General features: G+C 38.0%; 1 protein-coding gene across 18 annotated transcripts in view; it reads right to left on the bottom strand.

Moving 5' to 3' along the window:
• The window catches only part of FAAH2 (fatty acid amide hydrolase 2), a 367606-nt gene that overhangs the window by 159321 nt on the left and 184657 nt on the right, over positions 1 to 23628 (bottom strand). For all 18 annotated transcript variants that reach the window (NR_148564.2, NR_148557.2, XM_011530767.4 and 15 more), the window contains one exon: positions 19147 to 19283. Coding sequence is in view for 16 of the 18 variants with exons in the window: in XM_011530767.4 (XP_011529069.1) it covers positions 19147 to 19283 (137 nt within the window). In the remaining 2 variants the exon portion in view is untranslated. The remainder of the gene's footprint in view (positions 1 to 19146; positions 19284 to 23628) is intronic.

Here is a 23628-nt window from a genome sequence, read left to right as displayed (position 1 = left end):
GCAGTAAAGACAGACATAAGAAATTACAAAAGTATTAATTTGGGGAACTAATAAATGTCCACGAAATCTTCACAATCCAAGTTCTTCAGCCATGGCTTCAGCTGGTCCCTCTGTTTGGGGTCCCTGACTTCCTGCAACACCCTGCCACTACGGCAGCCTCCCTTGTGCCACTTTGCCTACATGCACTCGCCCACGATGACCTCCAACATTGCTTTATTGGTACTTGTGTGTGTGTGTGTGTGTGTGTGTGGACCTTGTCTTCCCTTCTCTACCAGCACACATAATTGTGTGCACCCTGCCATGCCACTACTCCTGGCATGAGTGCACCCTACCTCTTCCCCCCACTGCACCACCATTGTTGTCAGATCATTGGCAAGCAGAAAGCACATCAGCACTGCCCCCAACAGTACCTACTTTCAGTGCTGAAACAGCTGCCGGCAGAAACTAGGCATGCAAAAAGTGGACCCACCCTCACCCTGAGTAGCCACTGCCACCTACAGGAACATGCATAGAGGGCCCACACAGACTTGTGCCAACCAGAGCACCCCACCTCCATGATAACAATGCCACCAGTGTAAATGTATGCACAGTTGCTGCTAGAAAGCCCTATGCCCCCAGTCATACTGTCAATGCAACCAACAACTGCAAACACCTGCATGATGGCCACCTACTGGCCCACAAAAGGCAATGCAGTCAATATTGCCAATTGCTGTGAATGATCTCACAAAGGTCAGCACCCTGGTACCTGCTAGCACTGTGCTGCAGCTGAGGAGCATAAACCCATACATACTGCAGTGGGAGTTGCAACTGGCACATAAAAATAAGGGCAGATACTGCTGCCAGAGCCCTATGAAGTTCTTTGGCTGGCACTTACCCATTGAAGTATTATGACCAGTGATCTGGCAGCACCTTGTCCCTTCTAGTGGTCCAGGAGGACCTCAGCCCTCCCAGAAGGTTCCTAACCTTCAAAAGTCAGAGAAGAAAGTGGGGACCTCATACCAGTCCCCCAGAGTTAGAGCATGCAATCCAGGAGTACTGAGCTGAGTCTTGGCCACTTTAAATGTTCCAGAAATGAAGCCAGTCAAATGAACCTACCTTATACCATAATCAAATCGCCCAAGGTTATCAACTAGAATAAAAGAAAAACTCTCACCCAAAAAACAACTTTAAATGTTGAAGAAACAACAGACCCACAAAAATAAGAAAGAACCAGCACAAGAACTCTGACAATTCAAAAAATCAGAGTGTTTTCCTTCCTCCACACAAACACACTAGTTCTCAAGCAAGCATTCTTAAGCAGGCTGAGATGGCTGAAATGAGATAAATAGAATTCAGAATATAGATAGAAAGAAAGATCATTGAGATCCTGGAAAATATTAAAACCCAATCTAAGGAAGCTAGAATTCACAATAAAAACATACAGGAGCTGAAAGACAAAATAGTCAGTATAGAAAAAAAACACAATCAACCTGATAGAGCAGAAAAACATACTATAAAAATTTCATGAAAAAATAACAAGTGGCATAGTGGTTCTCCCAGCACGCAGCTTGAGATCTGAGAATGGACAGACTGCCTCCTCAAGTGGGTCCTGACCCCCGAGTACCCTAACTGGGAGGCACCCCCAAGTAGGGGCAGACTGACACCTCACACGGCCAGGTACTCCTCTGAGACAAAACTTCCGGAGGAACGATCAGGCAGCAACATTTGCTGTTCACCAATATTCGCTGTTTTGCAGCCTCTGCTGCTGATACCCAGGCAAACAGGGTCTGCAGGGGACCTCCAGCAAACTCCAACAGACCTGCAGCTGAAGGTCCTGACCGTTAGAAGGAAAACTAACAAATAAAAAGGACATCCACACCAAAAACCCATCTGTACATCACATCATCAAAGACCAAAGGTAGATAAAACCACAAAGATGGGGAAAAAACAGAGCAAAAAAACCAGAAACTCTAAAAATCAGAGCACCACTCCTCTTCCAAAGGAATGCAGCTACTAATCAGCAATGCAACAAAGCTGGATGGAGAATGACTTTCACGAGTTCAGAGAAGAAGGCTTCAGATTATCAAACTACGGCAAGCTAAAGGAGGAAGTTTGAACCCATGGCAAAGAAGTTAAAAAAACTTGAAAAAGGATTAGATGAATGGCTAACTACAATAATCAAGGCAGAGAAGTCCTTAAAGGACCTGATGGAGCCAAAAACCACAGCACCAGAACTACATGATGAATGCACAAGCCTCAATAGCTGATTTGATCAAGTGGAAGAAAGGGTACCAGTGATGGAAGATCAAATGAATGAAATGAAGTGAGAAGAGAAGTTTAGAGAAAAAGGAATAAAAAGAAATGAACCAGCATCCAAGAAATATGGGACTATGTGAAAACACCAAATCTATGTCTGATTGGTGTACCTGAAAGTCACGGGGAGAATGGAACCAAGTTGGAAAACACTCTGCAGGATATTATTTAGGAGAAATTCCCCAATCTAGCAAGGCAGGCCATCATTCAGATCCAGGAAATACAGAGAACAGAACAAAAATAACCCTCAAGAAGAGCAACTCCAAGACAAATAATTGTCAGATTCACCAAAGTTGAAATGAAGGAAAAAATGTTAAGGGCAGCCAGAGAGAAAGGTTGAGTTACCCAAAAAGGGAAGCCCATCAGACTAACAGCTGATCTCTCGGCAGAAACTCTACAAGCCAGAAGAGAGTGGGGGCCAATATTCAACATTCTTAAAGAAAATAACTTTCAACCCAGCATTTCATATACAGCCAAACTAAGCTTCATAAGTGCAGGAGAAATAAAATCCTTTACAGACAAGCAAATGCTGAGAGATTTTGTTACCACCAGGCATGCCCTGAAAGAGCTCCTGAAGGAAGCACTAAACATGGAAAGGAACAACCGATACCAGCCACTGCAAAAACCTGCCAAATTGTAAAGACCATCAAGGCTAGGGAGAAACTGCATCAACTAATGAGCAAAATAACCAGCTAAGATCATAATGACAGAATCAAATTCACACATAAAAATATTAACCTTAAATGTAAATGGACTAAATGCTCCAATTAAAAGACACAGATTGGCAAATTGGAAAAGGAGACAAGACCCATCAGTGTGCTGTATTCAGCAAACCCATCTCACATGCAGAGACACACATAGGCTCAAAATAAAGGGATGGAGGAAGATCTACCAAGCAAATGGAAAACAAAAAAAGGCAGGGGTTGCAATCCTAGTCTCCGATACAACAGACTTTAAACCAACAAAGATCAAAAGAGACAAAGAAGGCCGTTACATAATAGTAAAGGGATCAATTCAACAAGAAGAGCTAACTATCCTAAATATATATGCACCCAATACAGGAGCACCCAGATTCATAAAGCAAGTCCTTAGTGACCTACAAAGAGACTTAGACTCCCACACAATAATAATGGGAGACTTTAACACCCCACTGTCAACATTAGACAGATCAACGAGACAGAAAGTTAACAAGGATATCCAGGAATTGAACTCAGCTCTGCACCAAGCGGACCTAATAGACACCTACAGAACTCTCCACCCCAAATCAACAGAATATACATTCTTCTCAGCACCACATTGCACTTATTCCAAAATTCACCACATAGTTGGAAGCAAAGCACTCCTCAGCAAATGGAAAAGAACAGAAATTATAATAAACTGTCTCTCAGACCACAGTGCAATCAAACTAGAACTCAGGATTAAGAAACTCACTCAAAACCCCTCAACTACATGGAAACTGAACAACCCGCTCCTGAATGACTACTGGGTACATAACGAAATGAAGGCAGAAATAAAGATGTTCTTTGAAACCAATGAGAACAAAGACACAACATACCAGGATCTCTGGGACACATTCAAAGCAGTGTGTAGAGGGAAATTTATAGCACTAAATGCCCACAAGAGAAAGCAGGAAAGATCTAAAATTGACACCCTAACATCACAATTAAAAGAACTACAGAAGCAAGAGCAAACACATTTAAAAGCTAGCAGAAGGCAAGAAATAACTAAGATCAGAACAGAACTGAAGGAAATAGAGACACAAAAAACCCTTCAAAAAAATCAATGAATCCAGGAGCTGGTTTTTTGAAAAGATCAACAAAATTGATAGACCACTAGCCAGACTAATAAAGAAGAAAAAAGAGAATAATCAATTAGACGCAATAAAAAATGACAAAGGGCATGTCACCACTGATCCCACAGAAATACAAACTACCATCAGACTACTATAAACACCTGTATGCAAATAAACTAGAAAATCTAGAAGAAACGGATAAATTCCTCGACACCTACACTGTCCCAAGACTAAACCAGGAAGAAGTTCAATCTCTGAATAGACTAATAACAGCCTCTGAAATTGAGGCAATAATAAATAGCCTACCAACCAAAAAAAGTTCAGGACCAGATGGATTCACAGCAGAATTCTACCAGAGGTACAAGAAGGAGCTGGTACCACTCCTTCTGAAACTATTCCAATCAATAGAAAAATAGGGAATCCTCCCTAACTCATTTTATGAGGCCAGCATCATCCTGATACCAAAGCCTGGCAGAGACACAACCAAAAAAGACAATTTTAGACCAATATCCCTGATGAACATCAATGCAAAAATCCTCAATAAAATACTGGCAAACTGAATCCAGCAGCACATCTAAAAGCTTATCCACCATGATCAAGTGGGCTTCATCCCTGGGATGCAAGGCTGCTTCAACATACACAAATCAATAAATGCAATCCAGCATATAAACAGAACCAACAACAAAAACCATTTGATTATCTCAATAGATGCAGAAAAGGCCTTTGACAAAATTCAACAACCTTCATGCTAAAAACTCTCAATAAATTAGGTATTGATGGGACGTATCTCAAAATATTAAGAGCTATCTATGACAAACCCACAGCCAATATCATACTGAATGGGCAAAAACTGGAAGTATTCCCTTTGGAAACTGGCACAAGACAGGGATGTCCTCTCTCACCACTCCTATTCAACATAGTGTTGGAAGTTATGGCCAGGGCAATTAGGCAGGAGAAGGAAATAAAGGGTATTCATTAGGAAAAGAGGAAGTCAAATTGTCCCTGTTTGCAGATCACATGATTGTATATTTAGAAAACCCCATCATCTCTGCCCAAAATCTCCTTAAGCTGATAAGCAACTTCAGCAAAGTCTCAGGATATAAAATCAATGTGCAAAAATCACAAGCATTCTTATACACCAATAACAGAAAAACAGAGAGCCAAATCATGAGTGAACTCCCATTCACAATTGCTTCAAAGAGAATAAAATACCTAGGAATCCAACTTACAAGGAATGTGAAGGACCTCTTCAAGGAGAACTACAAACCACTGCTCAATGAAATAAAAGTGGATACAAACAAATGGAAGAAAATTCCATGCTCATGGGTAGGAAGAATCAATATCATGAAAATGGCCATACTGCCCAAGGTAATTTATAGATTCAATGCCATCCGCATCAAGCTACCAAAGACTTTCTTCACAGAATTGGAAAAAACTACTTTAAAGTTCATGTGGAACCAAAAAAGAGCCCGCATTGCCAAATCAATCCTAAGTCAAAAGAACAAAGCTGGAGGCATCATGCTACCTGACTTCAAACTATACTAAAGGCTACAGTAACCAAAACAGCATGGTACTGGTATCAAAACAGAGATATAGACCAATGGAACAGAACAGAGCCCTCAGAAATAATGCCACATATCTACAAACATATGATCTTTGACAAACCTGACAAAAACAAGCAATGGGGAAAGGATTCCCTATTTAATAAATGGTGCTGGGAAAACTGGCTAGCCATAAGCAGAAAGCTGAAACTGGATCCCTTCCTTACACCTTATACAAAAATTAATTCAAGATGGATTAAAGACTTAAATGTTAGACCTAAAACCATAAAAACCCTAGAAGAAAACCTAGGCAATACCATTCAGGACATAGGCATGGGCAAGGACTTCATGTCTAAAACATGAAAAGCAATGGCAGCAAAAGCCAAAATTGACAAATGGGATCTAATCAAACTAAAGAGCTTCTGCACAGCAAAAGAAACTACCATCAGAGTGAACAGGCAACCTACAAAATGGGAGAAAATTTTTGCAATCTGCACATCTGACAAAGGGCTAATATCCAGAATCTACAAAGAACTCAAACAAGTTTACAAAAAAAAAAAAAAAAAAACAACCCCATCAACAAGTGGGTGAAGGATATGAACAGACACTTCTCAAAAGAAGACATTTATGCAGCCAAAAGACACATGAAAAAAATGCTTATCATCACTGTCCATCAGAGAAATGCAAATCAAAACCACAATGAGATAACCATCTCACACCAGTTAGAAAGGCAATCATTAAAAAGTCAGGAACAACAGGTGCTGGAGAGGATGTGGAGTAATAGGAACACTTTTACAATGTTGGTGGGACTGTAAACTAGTTCAACCTTTGTGGAAGTCCGTGTGGTGATTCCTCAGGGATCTAGAACTAGAAATACCATTTGACCCAGCCATCCCATTACTGGATATATACCCAAAAGATTGTAAATCATGCTGCTATAAAGACACATGCACACGTATGTTTATTGTGACACTATTCACAATAGCAAAGACTTGGAACCAACCCAAATGTCCAACAATGATAGACTGGATTAAGAAAATGTGACACATATACACCATGGAATAGTATGTGGCCATAAAAAAGGATGAGTTCATGTCCTTTGTAGGGACATGGATGAAGCTGGAAACCATCATTCTCAGCAAACTGTTGCAAAGACAAAAAACCAAACACCGCATGTTCTTACTCATAGGTGGGAATTGAACAATGAGAACACATGGACACAGGAAGGGGAACATCACACACTGGGGCCTGTTGTGGGGTGGGGAAAGTGGGGAAGGATAGCATTAGGGGATATACCTAATATTAAATGACAAGTTAATGGGTGCAGCACACCAACATGGCACTTGTATACACAGGTAACAAACCTGCATGTTGTGCACCTGTACCCTAAAACTTAAAGTATAATTAAAAAAAAGGAAAACAAAACAAAACAAAAAAAAAAAGAAATCACAAGCATTAGCAGCAGAATACCCAAGCTGAGAAAAGAATATTGAAGCTTGAAGATTGACTTTTTAAAATAAAACAGTGAAACAAGAGTAAAGAAAAAAGAATTTTTTAATGAACAAAACTTCCATGAATTATGGAATAACATAAAGAGACCGAATCTAGAACTCATTGACATTCCAGAAAAGAAAAAGAGAAAGAAGGCAAATTAGAAAATATATTTCAGGATATCACCAATGAGAAAGTTCTCCAAACTAGACAGAGAGGCCAACATTCGAATTCAGAAAATGCTTAGAACCCACGCAAAATGCTTCATGAGAAGGTCATCCCCAAAACACATAATAGTCAAATTCTCTTCAGTTGAAATGAAAGAAAAAAAAGTTAAAGGCTAGAGAGAAAGGGTAGGTCACTTATAAAAGGAAGTCCAGCAAACTAACAAGAGACCTCTCAGCAAAAATCCTACATGGAAGAAGAGATCGGGGACCTACATCAAATATTCTTTAAAAACAAAAAATGCAGGCCGGGTGCGGTGGCTCACACCTGTAATCCCAGCACTTTGGGAGGCCGAGGAGCGCGGATCACGAGGTCAGAAGATCGAGACCACGGTGAAACCCCGTCTCTACTAAAAATACAAAAAATTAGCCAGGCGCGGTGGCGGATGCCTGTAGTCTCAGCTACTCAAGAGGCTGAGGCAGGAGAACGGCGTGAACCCGGGAGGCAGAGCTTGCAGTGAGCTGAGCGAGACTCCGTCTCAAAAAAAAAAAAAATGCAATCTGGAGTTTCATGTTCAGCCAAACTAAGTTTCATAAACAAAAGAGAAATAAGATCCTTTTCAGGTAAGCAAATGCTAAGCAAATTTGTTGCCACCAGATGTGCCTTATAAGAGCTCCTGGAAGAAGCACTAAATATGGAAATAATAGGTAATTACAAACCACTACAGAAACACACAAGTACACAGACTGGTGACCCTAAAAAGCAAAAACACAAACAAATCTGCATAATAACCAAGTAACAACATGATGACAGCAACAAATCCATACATATCAATACTAACCTTGAATGTAAACAGGCTAAATACCCCAATTAAAAGGCACAGAGTGGCAAGCCAGATAAAGAAGCAAGACTCCTTGTTATGTTGTCTTCAACACACCCATATTACATGCAATGACATCCATTGGCTCAAAATTTTAAAAATTGAGAAAAATCTACCAAGCAAATGGAAACCAGAAAAAAGCAGAGGTTTCAATTGGAAACCTATTTTTTTAATTAAAAAATAATTGAAAAATAGTTTTCAATTGGAAAACTATTTTTTTAAATAGTATAATAATAATTATTATTATACTATAAGTTATGGGATACATATGCAGAACGTGCAGGTTTTTACATAGGTATAAATGTGCAATAGTGGTTTGCTGCACCCATCAACACGTCATCTACTTTAGGTATTTCTCCTAATGCTATCCTTCCCCTAGATCCCGAACCCCCAATGTGCCCTAATGTGTGATGGTCCCCTCCCTGTGTCCATGTGTTCTCATTACTCAACTCCCACTCCTGAGTGAGAACATGCAGTGTTTTCCGATTTGTGTTAGTTTGCTAAGAACGATGGTTTCCAGCTTCATCCATGTCCCTGCAAAGGACATGCATTCATCCGGTTTTCTTTTTTTTTTTGAGATGGAGTCTCGCTCTGTCACCCAGGCTGGAGTGCAGTGGCACCATCTGGGCTCACTGCAAACTCCGCCTCCTAGATTCACGCCATTCTCCTGCCTCAGCCTCCTGAGTAGCTGGGACTACAGGCGCCCACCACCACACCCAGCTAATTTTTTGTATTTTTTAGTAGAGACGGGGGTTTTACCATGTTAGCCAGGATGGTCTCGATCTGCCGACCTCATGATCCACCTGCCTTGGCCTCCCAAAGTGGTGGGATTACAGGCGTGAGCCACCACACCCAGCCAACTCATCTTTTTTTATAACTGTATAATATTGCATGGTGTACATATGCCACATTTCCTTTATCCAGTCCATCACTGATTGGCATTTGGGTTGGTTCCAAGTCTTTGCTTTTATGAACAGTGCCACAAATAAATATACATGTGCATGTTGCTTTATAGTAGAATGATATATAATCTTTTGGGTGTATACCCAGTAATGGGATTGATGGATCAAATGGTATTTCTAGTTCTAGATCCTTGAGGAATCACCATATTGTCTTCAACAATGATTGAACTAATTTACACTCCCACCAACAATGTAAAAGCATTTTTATTTCTCCACATCCTCTCCAGCATCTGTTGCTTCCTGACTTTTTAATGATCACCATTCTAACTAGCATGTGATGGTATCTCATTGTGGTTTTGATTTGCATTTCTCTAATGACCAGGGATGATGAGCTTTTTTTCATATGTTTGTTGGCCACATAAATGTCTTCTTTTGAGAAGTGTCTATTCATATCCTTCACCCACTTTTTGATGGGGATGTTTGTCTTTTTCTTGTAAATTTGTTTAAGTTTCTTGTAGATTCTGGATATTACCCTTTGTCAGATGGATAGATCACAAAAATGTTCTCCCATTCTATAGGTTGCCTGTTCACTATGATGATAGTTTCTTTTGCTGTTCAGAAGCTCTTTAGTTTAATTAGATCCCATTTGTCAATGTTGGCTTTTGTTGCCATTTTTTCTTTGATGTTTTAGTCATGAATTATTTACCCATGCCTATGTCCTGAATGGTATTGCCTAGGTTTCCTTCTAGGGTTTTTATGGTTTTAAGTCTTAAGTTTAAGTCTTTAATCCATCTTGAGTTAATTTTTGTATAAGGTGTAAGAAAGAGGTCCAGTTTCAGTTTTCTGCATATGGCTAGTCATTTCTCCCAGCACCATTAAATAGGGAATCCTTTCCCCATTGCTTGTTTTTGCCAGGTTTGTCAAAGATCAGATTGCTGCAGATGTGTGGCATTATTTCTGAGGCCTCTGTTCTGTTCCATTGGTCTATATCTCTGTTTTGGTTCCACTACTATGCTGTTTTGTTTACTGTAGCCTTGTAGTATACTTTGCAGTAAGGTAACATGATGCCTCCAGCTTTGGTCATTTAGCTTAAGATTGTCTTGGCTATCGGAGCTCTTTTTTGGTTCCATATGAAATTTAAAGTAGTTTTTCCCAATTCTGTGAAAAAAGTCAATTGCAGTTCAATGGGGATAGCATTGAATCTATAAATTACTTGGGCAGTATGGCCATTTTCACAATATTGATTCTTTCTACCCATGAGCATGAAATGTTTTTCCATTTGTTTGTGTCCTCTCTTACTTCCTTGAGCAGTGGTTTGTAGTTCTCCTTGAAGAGGTCCTTCACATCCCTTGTAAGTTGTATTCCTATGTATTTTATTCTCTTTGTAGCAATTGTGAATGGGAGTTCACTCATGATTTGGCTCTCTTTTTGTCTACTATTGGTGTACAGGAATGCTTGTGATTTTTGCACATTGATTTTGTATCCTGAGACTTTGCTGAAGTTGCTTATCAGCTTAAGGAGATTTTGGGCTGAGACGATGGGGTTTTCTAAGCATACAATCATGTCATCTACAAAAAGAGACAACTTGACTTCCTCTCTTCCTATTTGAATATGCTTTATTTCTTTCTCTTGCCTGATTGCCCTGGCCAGAACTTCCAATACTATGTTGAATAGGAGTGGTGAGAGAGGGCATCCTTGTCTTGTGCCAGTTTTCAAAGGGAATGCTTCCAGTTTTTGCCCATTTAGTATGATATTGGCTGTGGGTTTGTCATAAATAGCTCTTATTATTTTGAGATATGTTCCATTAATACCTACTTTATTGAGAGTTTTTAGCATGAAAGGGTGTTGAATTTTATGGAGGGCCTTTTCTGCATCTATTGAGATAATCATGTGGTTTTTGTCATTGGTTCTGTTTAAGTGATGGATTATGTTTATTGATTTGCATATGATGAATCAGCCTTGTATCCCAAGGATGAAGCTGACTTGATAGTGGTAGATGAACTTTCTGATGTACTGCTGGATTCAGTTTGCCAGTATTTATTGAGGATTTTTGCATAGATGTTCATCAAGGATATTGGCTTGAAATTTTCTTTTTTTGTTGTGTCTCTGCCAGGGTTTGTTATCAGGACGATGCTGGCCCCATAAAATGGATTAGGGAGGAGTTACTCTTTTTCTATTGTTTGGAATAGTTTCAGAAGAAATGTTACCAGCTCCTCTTTGTACCTCTGGTAGAATTTGGCTGTGAATCCATCTAGTTCTGGGATTTTTTTATTGGTAGGCTATTAATTACTGCCTCAATTTCAGAACTTATTCTTGGCCTATTCAGGTACTTGACTTCTTCCTGGTTTGCTTTAGACTTGGGAGGATTTATCTGTCCAGGAATTTTTCCATTTTTTCTACACTTTCTAGTTTATTTGCGTAAAGGTGTTTATAAGTATTCTCTGATGGTAGTTTGTATTTCTGTGGGATCAGTAGTGATATCCCCTTTACCATTTTTTATTGTGTCTATTTGATTCTTCTCTCTTTTCTTCTTTATTAGTCTGGCTAGCAGTATATCTATTTGTTAATCTTTTCAAAAAACCAGCTCCTGGATTCATTTATTTTTTTTGAAGGGTTTGTTGTGTGTCTCTATCTCCTTTAGTTCTGCTCTGATCTTAGTTATTTCATGTCTTCTGCTAGCTTTTGAATTTGTTTGCTCTTGCTTCTCTAGTTCTTTTAATTGTGATGTTAGGGTGTCAATTTTAGATCTTTCCTACTTTCTCCTTTGGGCATTTAGTGCTATAAATTTCCCTCTAAACACTGCTTTAGCTGTGTCTCAGAGATCCCAGTACATTGTGTCTTTTTTCTCACTGGTTTCAAATAACATGTTTATTTCTGCCTTAATTTCTTTACCCAGTAGTCATTCAGGAGCAGATTGTTCAGTTTCCATGTAGTTGTGCCGTTTTGAGTGAGTTTCTTAATCCTTAGTTGTAATTTGATTGCACTGTGGTCTGAGAGACTGTTGGTTATATTTTCCATTATTTTGCATTTGCTAAGGAGTGTTTTACTTCCAAATATTTGGTCAATTTTAGAATAAGTGCAATGTGATGCTGAGAAGAATGTGTATTCTGTTGATTTGGGGTGGAGAGTTCTGTAGATGTCTATTAGGTCTACTTGGTCCAGAGCTGAGTTCAAGTCCTAAATATTCTTGTTAATTTTCTGTCTTGTTGATCTGTCTAATAGTGACAGTGGGGTGTTAAAGTCTCCCACTATTATGGTGTAGGACTCTAAGTCTCTTTGTTTGTCTCTAAAAACTTGCTTTATGAATCTGGGTGCTCCCGTACTGGGTACATATATATTTAGGATAGTTAACTCTTCTTGGTACAAAGTCCCTTTATGATTATGTAATGCCCTTCTTTGTCTTTTTTCATCTTTGTTGGCTTAAAGTCTGTTTTATTAGAGACTAGGATTGCAACTCCTGCTCTTTTTCGCTTTACATTTGCTTGATAAATATTCCTCCATCCTTTTATTTTGAGCCTATGTGTGTCTTTGCATGTGCAATGGATCTCCTGAATACAGCAGACTAATGGGTCTTGGCTCTTTATTTAATTTGCCAGTCTGTGTCTTTTAATTGGGGCACTTAGCCCGTTTACATTTAAGGCTAATATTGTTATTTGTGAACTTGATCCTGAGAGCATTTTTCAAATATTTGTTGGCCACTTGTCTGTCTTCTTTTGAGTGATGTCTGATCATGTCTCTTGCTCACTTTTTAATGGGTTATTTGTTTATTAGTTGTTGATTTGCTTAAGTTCCTTATAGATTCTGGATATTAGACCTTTATTGCATGCATAGTTTATGAATATTTCCTCCCAATCTGTAGGTTGCCTGTTTATTCTGTTGATGGTTTATTTTGCTGTGCAGAAGGTCTTTAGTTTAATTAAGTCCCACTTGTAAATTTTTCATTTAGTTGCAATAGCTTTAGGGAGTTGACCATGTTTTTTTGGAGGCGGTGGGGGGAGACAGGGTCAATATAGAGAAGGGTATTTCTTAGGTTTTCATCTCAACTTTTTTAGAGTTTGACGTCTTACATTTAAATATTTATCTATTTTGAGTTAGTTTTTGCCTATGGTGAAAGATAAGAGTGTAGATTCAGTCTTCTGTACATGGCTAGTGAGTTATCCCAGCACCATGTATTGAATAGGGAGTCCTTCCCCCATTGCTTATTTTTGTTGGCCTTGACAAAGATCAGATGGTTGTATGTGTGTGACTTTATTTCTGAGTTTTCTGTTCTGTTCCATTGGTCTATGTGTCTGTTTATGTACCAGCACCATGCTGTTTTGGTGACTGTAGCTTTATAATATAGTTTTAAGTGGGGTAGTGTGATATCTCTGCTTCTATTTGCTTAGGATTGCTTTGGCTATTCAGGCTCTTTTTAGATTCCATATGAATTTTAAAATAGGTTTTTTCCAATTCTTTGAAAAATGTCTTTGGTAGTTTGGTAGGAATAGCGTTAAATCTGTAAACTGTTTTTGGATGTATGGCGATTTCATCAATACTGATTTTTCCAATCCAAGAACATGAAATGTTTTTACATTTATTTATACCATTTCTGGTTTCTTTCGGCAGTGTTCTGCAGTTCTCGTAGAGATCTTTCACCTCCTTGTTTAGCTCTATTCCTAGGTATTCCATTTTATTTCTGACTATTGTAAATGGGATTGTGTGAATCTCAACCAGGACATCATTATACTACCGATTTACTACATTGATTTTGTATTCTGAAACCTTGCTAAAATTGTTTATCAGTTTTAGTAGGATTTTGATGGAGTCTTTAGGATTTTCTAAGCATAAGATCATATCATCAACAGAGAGACAGTTTGACTTCTTTTCCTATTTGGATGCCTTTTCTTTCTCTTGCCTGACTGCTCTGGCTAGGATTTCCAGTACTATGTCAAATAGGAGTAGTGAGAGTGGGCACTCTTTCCTTGTTTCAGATCTCAGGAAGAATGCTTCCAGCTTTTGCCCATTTAGTGTGACATTGCCTGTGTGTTTGGTATAGATGACTCTTATTATTTTGAGGTATGTTCCTTCGATGCCTAGTCTGTTGGGAGTTAGTATAAAGAAGGGGTGTTGAATTATATCAAAAGTTATTTTTCTGCATCTATTGAGATGATCACATGGTTTTTACTTTTAATCATTTACGTGGTGAATCACATTAAATGATTTGCATATGTTGATCCAATCTTGCATCCCAGGAATAATCCCTACTTGATCATAATGAGTTAACTTTTTGTTGTGTTGCTGGATTTGGTTTGCTAGAATTTTATTGAGGATTTTTGAGTTTATGTTAATCAGGGATATTGGTCTGAAGTTTTTGTTTTCTGTTGTGTCTCTGCCAGATTTTTGTATTAGGGTGATGATAGCTTTATATAGAATGAGTTAGAGAGGAGTCCCTCCTCCTCCATTTTTTAGAATAGTTTCAGTAGTATTGGTAGCATCTCTTTTTTGTATGTCTGGTAGAATTTGGCTGTGAATCCATCTAGTCCAGGACACTTTTTGATTGGTAGGTTTCTTATTACCGATTCCATCTCACAGCTCAATATTGGGCTGTTCAAGGTTTCACTCTCTTCCTGATTCAATCTTGGAAGAAGGTGTGTTTCCAGGAATATTTACATTTTCTATATATTTTTTAATTTGTGTGCATTGAATTGATTGTGACAATCTTTCGTATTTCCATGAAATAAGTTGTAATGTTATGTTTGTCATTTCTGATTGTACTTACTTGAATCTTCTCTTTCTTTTTTAATCTAGGTAGCAGTCTAACTTATTTTTGAAAAACAAACTCTTAATTTCATTGATCTTTTGTATAGATTTTTGCATCTATATTTTACTAAGTTCTCTAATTTTAGTTATTTCTTTTCTTCTGCTGGCTTTGGAATTGATTTTTTCTTATTATCGTAGTTCACATTGGCGTTATGTTATATTGTTAATTTGAGATCTTTCCAACTTCTTGAAGAAGGATTTAGTTCTATAAACTTTCCTGGTAACAATGCTTGAGTGGCGCCTTAATGACTTTGGTAAGATGTGTCACTATTTTCATTAATTTTAGAGATTTTTTTTGTTTTTTTGTATTTCTGCCTTAATTTTGATGTTCACCTAAGAGTTATTAATCACTTTTTTTGATTTATGCCTTAATTTCAATGTCCATCTAGGAGTTTTTCATGAGAAAGTTGTTTAGTTTCCATGTATTTGTGTAGTTTTGGGAGATATTGATATTGATTTCTATTTTTATTTCACTCTGGTCCAAGAGTGTGCATGGTAAGATTCAATATTTTAATTTATTGAGACTTGAAGTATGACTGACCGTGTAGAGTATGCTCCATGTACAGATGAGTTGAATGTATATTCCATGGTTTTTGGGTGGAGTATTTTGTAGATGTCTATTAAGCGCAATTGCTCAAGTGTTGAGGTGAAGCCCTGAGTTTCTTTTGTTAGTTTTCTGCCTCGATGATCTGTCTAACACTGTCAGTGGGGTTTTGAAATCTCCTACTATTATTGTGTGGCTGTCTAAGATTTTTCTCAGGTCATGAAGATTTTTTCTGTGAATCTGAGTGCTCCAATGTTGGGTGCATACATATTTAAGATGGTTCAGTCTTCTCATTGAATTAAAACATTTATCATTATATAATGCCCTTCTTTGTATTTCCTGATTGTTGTTGGTTTAAGATCTGTTTTATCTGATAAAAAGAATAGCAACTCCTGCTCTTTTTTGTTTCCTGTTTGCATGATAGATCTTCCTACATCCTTTCACTTTGAGCATGTGGGTGTCATTACATGTGAGATGGGCCTCTTAGAGAAAACAGATGGTTGGGTCTTGTTTTTTCATCCAGCCTGACACCCTGTATTTTAATTGGGACATTTAGTTCATTTACATTCAAATATGTGTGATTTTATTCAAGTCATGCTATTAGCTGTTTGTTATATAGACTTGACTGCATAGTTGTTTTATAGTGCATGCAAGCTATCAGCTTGAGTGTCTCTGTGACAGCCGGTGTCATTCTTTTGAACTCATGTTTAGCACTTCCTTAAGGGCCTCATGTAAGGTTGGTCTAGTTGAAAAATATTCTCTCAGAATTTTCTTGTCTGAGAAGAATTTTATTTCTCCTTCATTTATGAAGCTTATTTGCGAGGAAATGAAATTCTTGGTTGGAATTTCTTGTCTTTAGGGATGCTGAAAGTAGACCCCCAATATCTTCTCATTGTTAAGGTTTCTGCTGAGAGATCTACTGCTTGCCTGATGGAGTACTCTCTGTATGTGACTTAACCCTTCTCTCTAGCTGCCTTTAAGATGTATTTATTTATTTATTTATTTATTTTTGTATTGACCTTGGTGAATCTGATTACTATGTTCCTTGGGGATGGTCATCTTATATAGTATGTGGCCACCATTATCTGTACCACTTTGATTTGCATGTCAACCTCTTCACCGAGACTGGTGTCAACCTCTTCACCTCAAATATATTTTCCAAGTTGATTATTCTCTCTCCTTCTCTCTTGAGAATCCTGATGAGTCATAGGTTTGGTTTTCTTATATCATTCCACATTTCTTGGAGGTTTCATTCATTTTCTAATTTCTTTTTTCTTTATTTTTGTCTGACTAAGGTGATTTGAAAAAAACGGTATTCAAGCTCTGGGATTGGATTCTTTCCTCAGCTTGGTCTACTCTGCTGTTAATACTTCTAATTGTATTATGAAATTCTCATAGTGAGTCTTTAATTTCTAGAAGCTCTGTTTTGTTGTTTCCTAAAATGCCCATTTTTTCTCCCATCTCTTGGATCATTTTACTGGATGCTTTGCATTCCTTGGATTGGATTTCAACTTTCTCCTGAATCTCAGTAAGTTTCATTGACACCCAGATTCTGAAGACTGTGTCATCTCAGTCATTTCAGACTGGTCAAAAACCATTTCTGGGGAGCTATTGGACTTGTTTTGAGGTCAATAAAGATACTCTACTTTTTGGATTTCCAGAGTTCTTGCACTGATTTATTCTAATATTTGAGGATTGGTATTTCTGTAACTGTGGTGTAAGTTCAGTATAGTTAGTTGGCTATATTTGTGGATCCTTTCAGAAGGCTAGTGTTCTGTATAGGATTTTTTTTTTTTTGATGGAGTTTTGTGCTTGTTGCCCAGGCTGGAGTGCAATGGCACGGATTACTGCAACTTCCACCTCCTAGGTTCAAGCGATTCTCCTACCTCAGCCTCCCAAGTAGCTGGGACTACAGATGCCCGCCACCATGCCCAGCTAATTTTTTTTTCTTGTATTTTTAGTAGAGATGTGGTTTCATCATGTTGGCCAGGCTGGTCTCAAACTCCTGACTTCAGGTGATCCACCTGCCTCGGCCTCCCAAAGTGCTGGGATTACAGGCATAAGCCACTGTGCCTGGCCTCTATAGGATCTTTATGTGTGTTTGAATTCTTGCACTTGGTTTCACAGGTGCACATATTAGCCGGATGATTGATTGATGTTGTAGTTTGGGCTGCAATCCAGTAGATGAAGCATAAGAGTAATGGCCGGTAGCTAGTTTAATACCAAGCTGTGCAGCTCTTCTGTATTTCCCTTAGTATGCAGGCATGCTCTTGAGTTGGGAGAGCAGAAAGAGACAGCACCTCCCTCACCAGATCTGCTCCTGGGATTTGGGAGAGCCCCCTGTGATCAATGGTGCTGTGCTGGCATTTCTTTTATTAGCTATTCTGTACCACCAGCCCTCTTGGGCAGGGGCTGCAGCAGAGATATGCCACACTCTATGGACCCACCCTGTGGAGGGAGGCATGCCCCATCTCACCTTGCCCAGAAACCCATGCATCTCTCCCTTCTCAGTGTTCTGGGGTTGGGAGCTCCTCCCCAGCTTCATTACTGTCCACAGATCTCTGCTCCTTACTCTCAAGTAGCACGCTGTAGCCCTGGGTGCACCTGACTGTCTCTTAGCTGGGACTCAGTTCTGCCTGTGCTAGGGGATCCAATATGCTCCAGGCTAGCTAGGAAAGTACTCACGTGCATCAATACACTGAGGTTGGGCTGCAGGGGCTGTTATGTGCACCTGCTCCTGCAGAGTAGCTAGGCATGGATGCTGGGAGTAGCTGAAAGGCAGGAAAGCTTGCAGAGCAGATGCACCTCAGTCCCATGAAGAAGCTGGCTCTGCTCTCTCCTGGGTCAGAGGTCATCCCGGCCTGCACCTCCTCGGAGGAATGGGAAGACTTGGGGATTGGTGCCTATGGCTACTCTCAGCTGGAGCTGCCCAGAGCACCAAAAGCTTCCAGGCTCCAAGCCCTCTGAAGGCCCATCTCTGCCTGCTCTCCATCAGATCTTCCTGCCAGCTCATACACCCACGGGCGACAAGGGTTCCCCTATAGCTAGGATCCCAAAGATTCCTGGTGAAGGTGAGGCCTCAGTTCCCTCACTGACCCCTTTCGCAGGAGCCATTTAAGGCCAGGCTTCAGTTACTGATTTTAAATCTTTCTTTTCATGTATATTCACTGAAAGCCATACATTTCCCTCTAAGTACTAATTTAGCTACATCCCATAAGTTTTGTTATATTATTATATTTTTTCTTTCAGTTCAAACATTTCCTTGTGATTTATTTCTTTGACTTATGGGTTATTTAAAAATACGTTGTTTACTTTCCAAATATTTGGGATTTTCATTTACTTTTGAGGCTAGCAGGAAGTTACAAAATAAGAACTGTATTACAGAGAAAGCACAGGTATTTATCAGAATTCAAGCTTGGCTTTAGCCTAACTACTTTAGGGTCATGAGCCTCAATTTTCTTATCTGAAAAATGAGATCAATAATACTATTCTTATAAGTTTGCTGTAAGGATTAATGGATACTGAGCATAGTGCCCCCATATGCCATACAGAGCTAACAGAGGATGACCATTATCATTTATTTTCCCAATGGAACTTGCTGAATATTTCCTCTCATTTCAAACTGAGGAAGCAGCATGAGTTTGTCCTTCACTTTTATACCATCCTTTTTAGTTTATAAGTTTAGAAAATGTAGCAACTTGTGAATTAAACTCATGTAGCCAAAAATAAAAGAATAGTACCTTGTAGCTGGAAAGCTTCCTTGACTGTCAAAGGAACCCCAAGGAAGGGCCATTTATTTTCCAGGGTGGCTTCATCTTCCTGCTTCTCTGCAAGCTTTTGATCTACAGCATGAGCCTCCTTCATCGCTTCCTCAAACCTAAGAAGAAATAAAACAATGCAAACTTTAACTAAACAAGTCATCCAACCAACTTTATTAAAAGAATACCCATATCAACATGTTAATATGTAATCAACATATTAAAGTTAATGTACTTGTCAAGAGCCTTATAAAGCTGACCATTTGAGCCAGTGATTCTCCTTTTAGGAATCCATCATAAGAACAGTAATCCAACCTAGTAAGAATTATCCATACAGAAAGCTGGTCAGTGCATCATTATTTATATTAGAAAAACAAATAAAATCTCCTTGTCACCAAATAAATAATTATAGATATCTACAAGAGACAACTGTATGGCCAATAAACGTGGTGTTGCGTAAAGGCCATAAACAGACACTTCTCAAAAGAAGTCATTTATGCAGCCAACAAACATGAAAAAAAGCTCAACATCACTGATCATTAGAGAAATGCAAATAAAAACCTAAATGAGATACCATCTCTCACCAGTCAGAATGGCAATTGTTAAAAATCAAGAAACAACAGATGCTGCCGAGGCTACAGAGGTAAAGGAATGCTTTTACGCTGTTGGTGAGAATGTAAATTAGTTCAACCATTGTGAAAAACGGTGTGACAATTCTTCAAAGACCTAGAACCAGAAATTCCATTTGATCCAGCAATCCCATTATTGGATATATACCCAAAAGAATATAAATCATTTTATTATAAAGATACATGCACACATATGTTCATTGCGCCACTATTTACAATAGTAAACACATGGAATCCACCCAAATTCTCATCAATGGTAGACTGGATAAAGAAAATGTGGTACATCAAAAAGAAATGAGATCATATTCTTTTCAGGGACATGGATGGAGCTGGAAGCCATTATCCTCAGCAAACTAATGCAGGAATAGAAAACCAAACATTATATGTTCCCACTCATAAGTGGGAGCTGAAAAATGAGGACTCATGGACACAGGGAGGGAAACAACACACACTGGGGCCTCTCAGGGGTGGAAAGAGCATCAGATAAAATAGCTAATGCATGCTGGACTCAACACTTAGGTGATGGATTGATAGGTGCAGAAAACCATCATGGTACACGTTTACCTTGTAACAAACCTGCACATCCTGCATATGTACCCCAGTACTTAAAATAAAATAAAATAAAAAGTGGTGTTTCCTAAAAGTTTTACTGCACTTCGGAAATTCCTATGATGTAATGTCATTTAATGTAAGTGAAAAGAGAAGGTTATAGCAGTATATTCCTAGTATAACCTCAATCATGTGAAAATCGTAAGCAAAACATTAACAGTGAATAACTACTCTTTTGGTGCTATGATTATAGGTAATTTTTTGTTGTTTTTTGCAAATGTTCTATAATGGACATAATTACAGCAATTTCCAGAATGAAACAATAAGTCAATATGCCCAAAAGAACACAGTTTAAATGTATGTGGTAATACAATCACTAAAGTATGCAATTCCAGTGTGATTTCTCAGTATCACAAATATTAATTCTTGAAAATGAAATTTAAAATCCTTTACATAACCTTTCATGTGACTTAAAATAACTTTAATAAAATATCTTTGGGCTCACTGGAAATACCAATGACATTTATTGATTACTTCAACAAATATTCAAAGTATTAAAAAATGAATATGATAATGTCTATGCTTTTAAGATGAATAAAAATTAGGGAACTCTCATTTCCTAGTTTTGTGAACTATGCAAGCTCTTTCATTTCACTGGATTTTAGTTGCTTCAATTGTAAATTGGGGACAATAATATCTATCTAACATGGTGGTAGTGAGAATGCATTGGGAAAATGGATATAAAGAACTGTTGGAAGTTTCTAAAAAGGAGGATTTTTTACTGCCATGTGTATATGACAATATGCTAGAAATGGAGGAGACAGGAGTTACAGAGTATGCCAGGATAATGATATAATGATATTTAACAATTAATGATATATTTCAGGTATTGGGCAGTACTTTAAATATTGTACAGTCAGTTAATCCTGACACTCATGTGATGTAATAAACAACCTACAGAATAGGAGAAAATATTTACAAACTATGCATCCAACAGAGATCTAATATCCAGAATCTATAAGGAACTTCAACAATTAAACAAGCAAAAAATAAATAACCCCACTTAAAAGTGGGCAAAAGATGTGAATGGACACTTCTCCAAAGAAGATAGACAAGCAGCCAAGAAATATATGAAAAAATGCTCATCATCACTAATCATCAGAGAAATGCAAATAAAAACCACAATTAGATATCCTCTCACACCAGTCAGAATGGCTATTATTAAAAGTAAAAAAACAACAGATACCGGTGAAGCTGCAGAGAAAAGGGAATGTTGATGGGAATGTAAATTAGTTCAGCCATAGTGGAAAGCAGTTTGGAGATTTCTCAAATAACTTAAAACAAAACTACCATTTGACCCAGCAATCACATTACTGGGTATATACCCAAAAGAAAATAAATAGTTTTACCAAAAAGACACTTGCATTTGTATGTTCATCACTATGCTATCACAATCGCAAAGACATGGAATCAATCTAGATGCCCATCAATGGTGGATTGGATAAAGAAAATTTGGTGTATATGCATCATGGAATACTACACAGCCACAGAAAGAATGAAATCATGTCCTTTGCAGCAACATGGATGCACCCAGAGGTCATTATTAACCTAATTAACCTAATTAACACAGGCACAAAAACCAAATATCACATTGTTCTCATTTCTCAGTGGGAGCTAAATACTGGATGCTCACGGCCATAAAGATAGCAACAATAGACACTGGGGACTAACAGATGCGGAAGTGTGTGAGCGAGGGAAAGTTTTGAAAAACTGTTGGATACTATACTCACTATCTGGGTGATGGGATCATTTGCATCCCAAACCTCAGTATCACACAATATATTCATATAACAAACCTGCACATGTGCCCCTTGAATTTAAGATAAAAGTTGATATTATATTTTTAAAATGTGGCTAATGCAATATGTTGAAAGTATTTTGACATATTTAGTTAAATAATATGTACTATGAAAATTAATTCCACCTGTTTCTTTTCACTTTTTAAAATACAGCTGCTAGAATATGTGAAATTGCACATTTCCCTCATAATTTATTTCTATTGAACAATATTAATCTAGAGAGAGAATGCATAGTTTTGTATCTCAGCTCCACTATTTACTGTATCTCCTTCGAAAACTTAACTTAACCTTTCTGTATTTCAGTTTCCTCATCTGTATAATGGAGCTAAAAATAATTACCTCATAGAATTGTTGATATTATGCAATTAGCTACTGCATTTGTAAAGCACTACAACAGTACCGGGAACATTGTAAGCACACAAGTGCTAACTATCACTGATACTACTAATGCTTCTTATTATAGAGAAGAAGAACCCCAAACAGAGAGAATAGAAAGATGAAGGGATGAGAAAACATGGCTCATTCTAATGAAAACTTATTTGGTTATTTGTCTAGCCTTTGTTCTCTGAGTACTACTGGCCCAACGATAGGGGTAAAAACCCTGTTGTCATGCATATAACCCTATTGGTGGGCCAGCGGTACTCAGAGGACAAAGGCTATATATATATATATATATGTATCTGTGTGTGTGTGTGTGTATACGTGTGTGTATATATACATATATAGTACTATATAGTATATATACACACTATATATACTATATAGTACTATATATGTATATATGGTGTATATATAGTGTATATATAGTGTGTATATATATACACATATATAGTACATATATAGTATATATATAGTGTATATATGGTGTATATAAAGTGTATATATAGTATACATATATATGGTATATATATAGTGTATACATATAGTGTGTGTGTATATATATACACACACACACACACACACACACACACACACACACACACAAGATGTTGCTAGTCTCGTTGTACTGAACACTTGAGCCAAGTGAAACAAATAAAATTATCTCTTTCCCTAGAGGTTCAACTAAAAGAAAGAAGGACTGGGGTTGGTTAGAACACATTAATGGCAGGGCTCTTAAATGAAGGCCCACAAATCTCCTACGTTTGAGAGTCCAGAGCTACATCAGTCCCTGAACTTCCCAGGGTCTAGTTGTTCAAATGTCTCATAATTTGTCAAATTGTGAGGATCTTTATGATTATTGGCCACACCACTACCTTTTCACACCCATAAGCCAGTAAAAGTACAATTCTATTGCAATGAAAAGAATAATTGTCAGCACAGCCATTTAGAAACTATAGACATTTCTGTGTGTCTATAGCTAGTTACAAAGTAGCATCATTACCATTTGTAGAGTAAAGGCCAGCACTCTAAGTGTTACACATTCTGGG

This window comes from Homo sapiens, chromosome X (genome assembly GCF_000001405.40).
Source record: "Homo sapiens chromosome X, GRCh38.p14 Primary Assembly".
NCBI classification, from domain to species: domain Eukaryota; kingdom Metazoa; phylum Chordata; class Mammalia; order Primates; family Hominidae; genus Homo; species Homo sapiens.
This window is presented reverse-complemented; position numbering and strand designations above follow the sequence as displayed.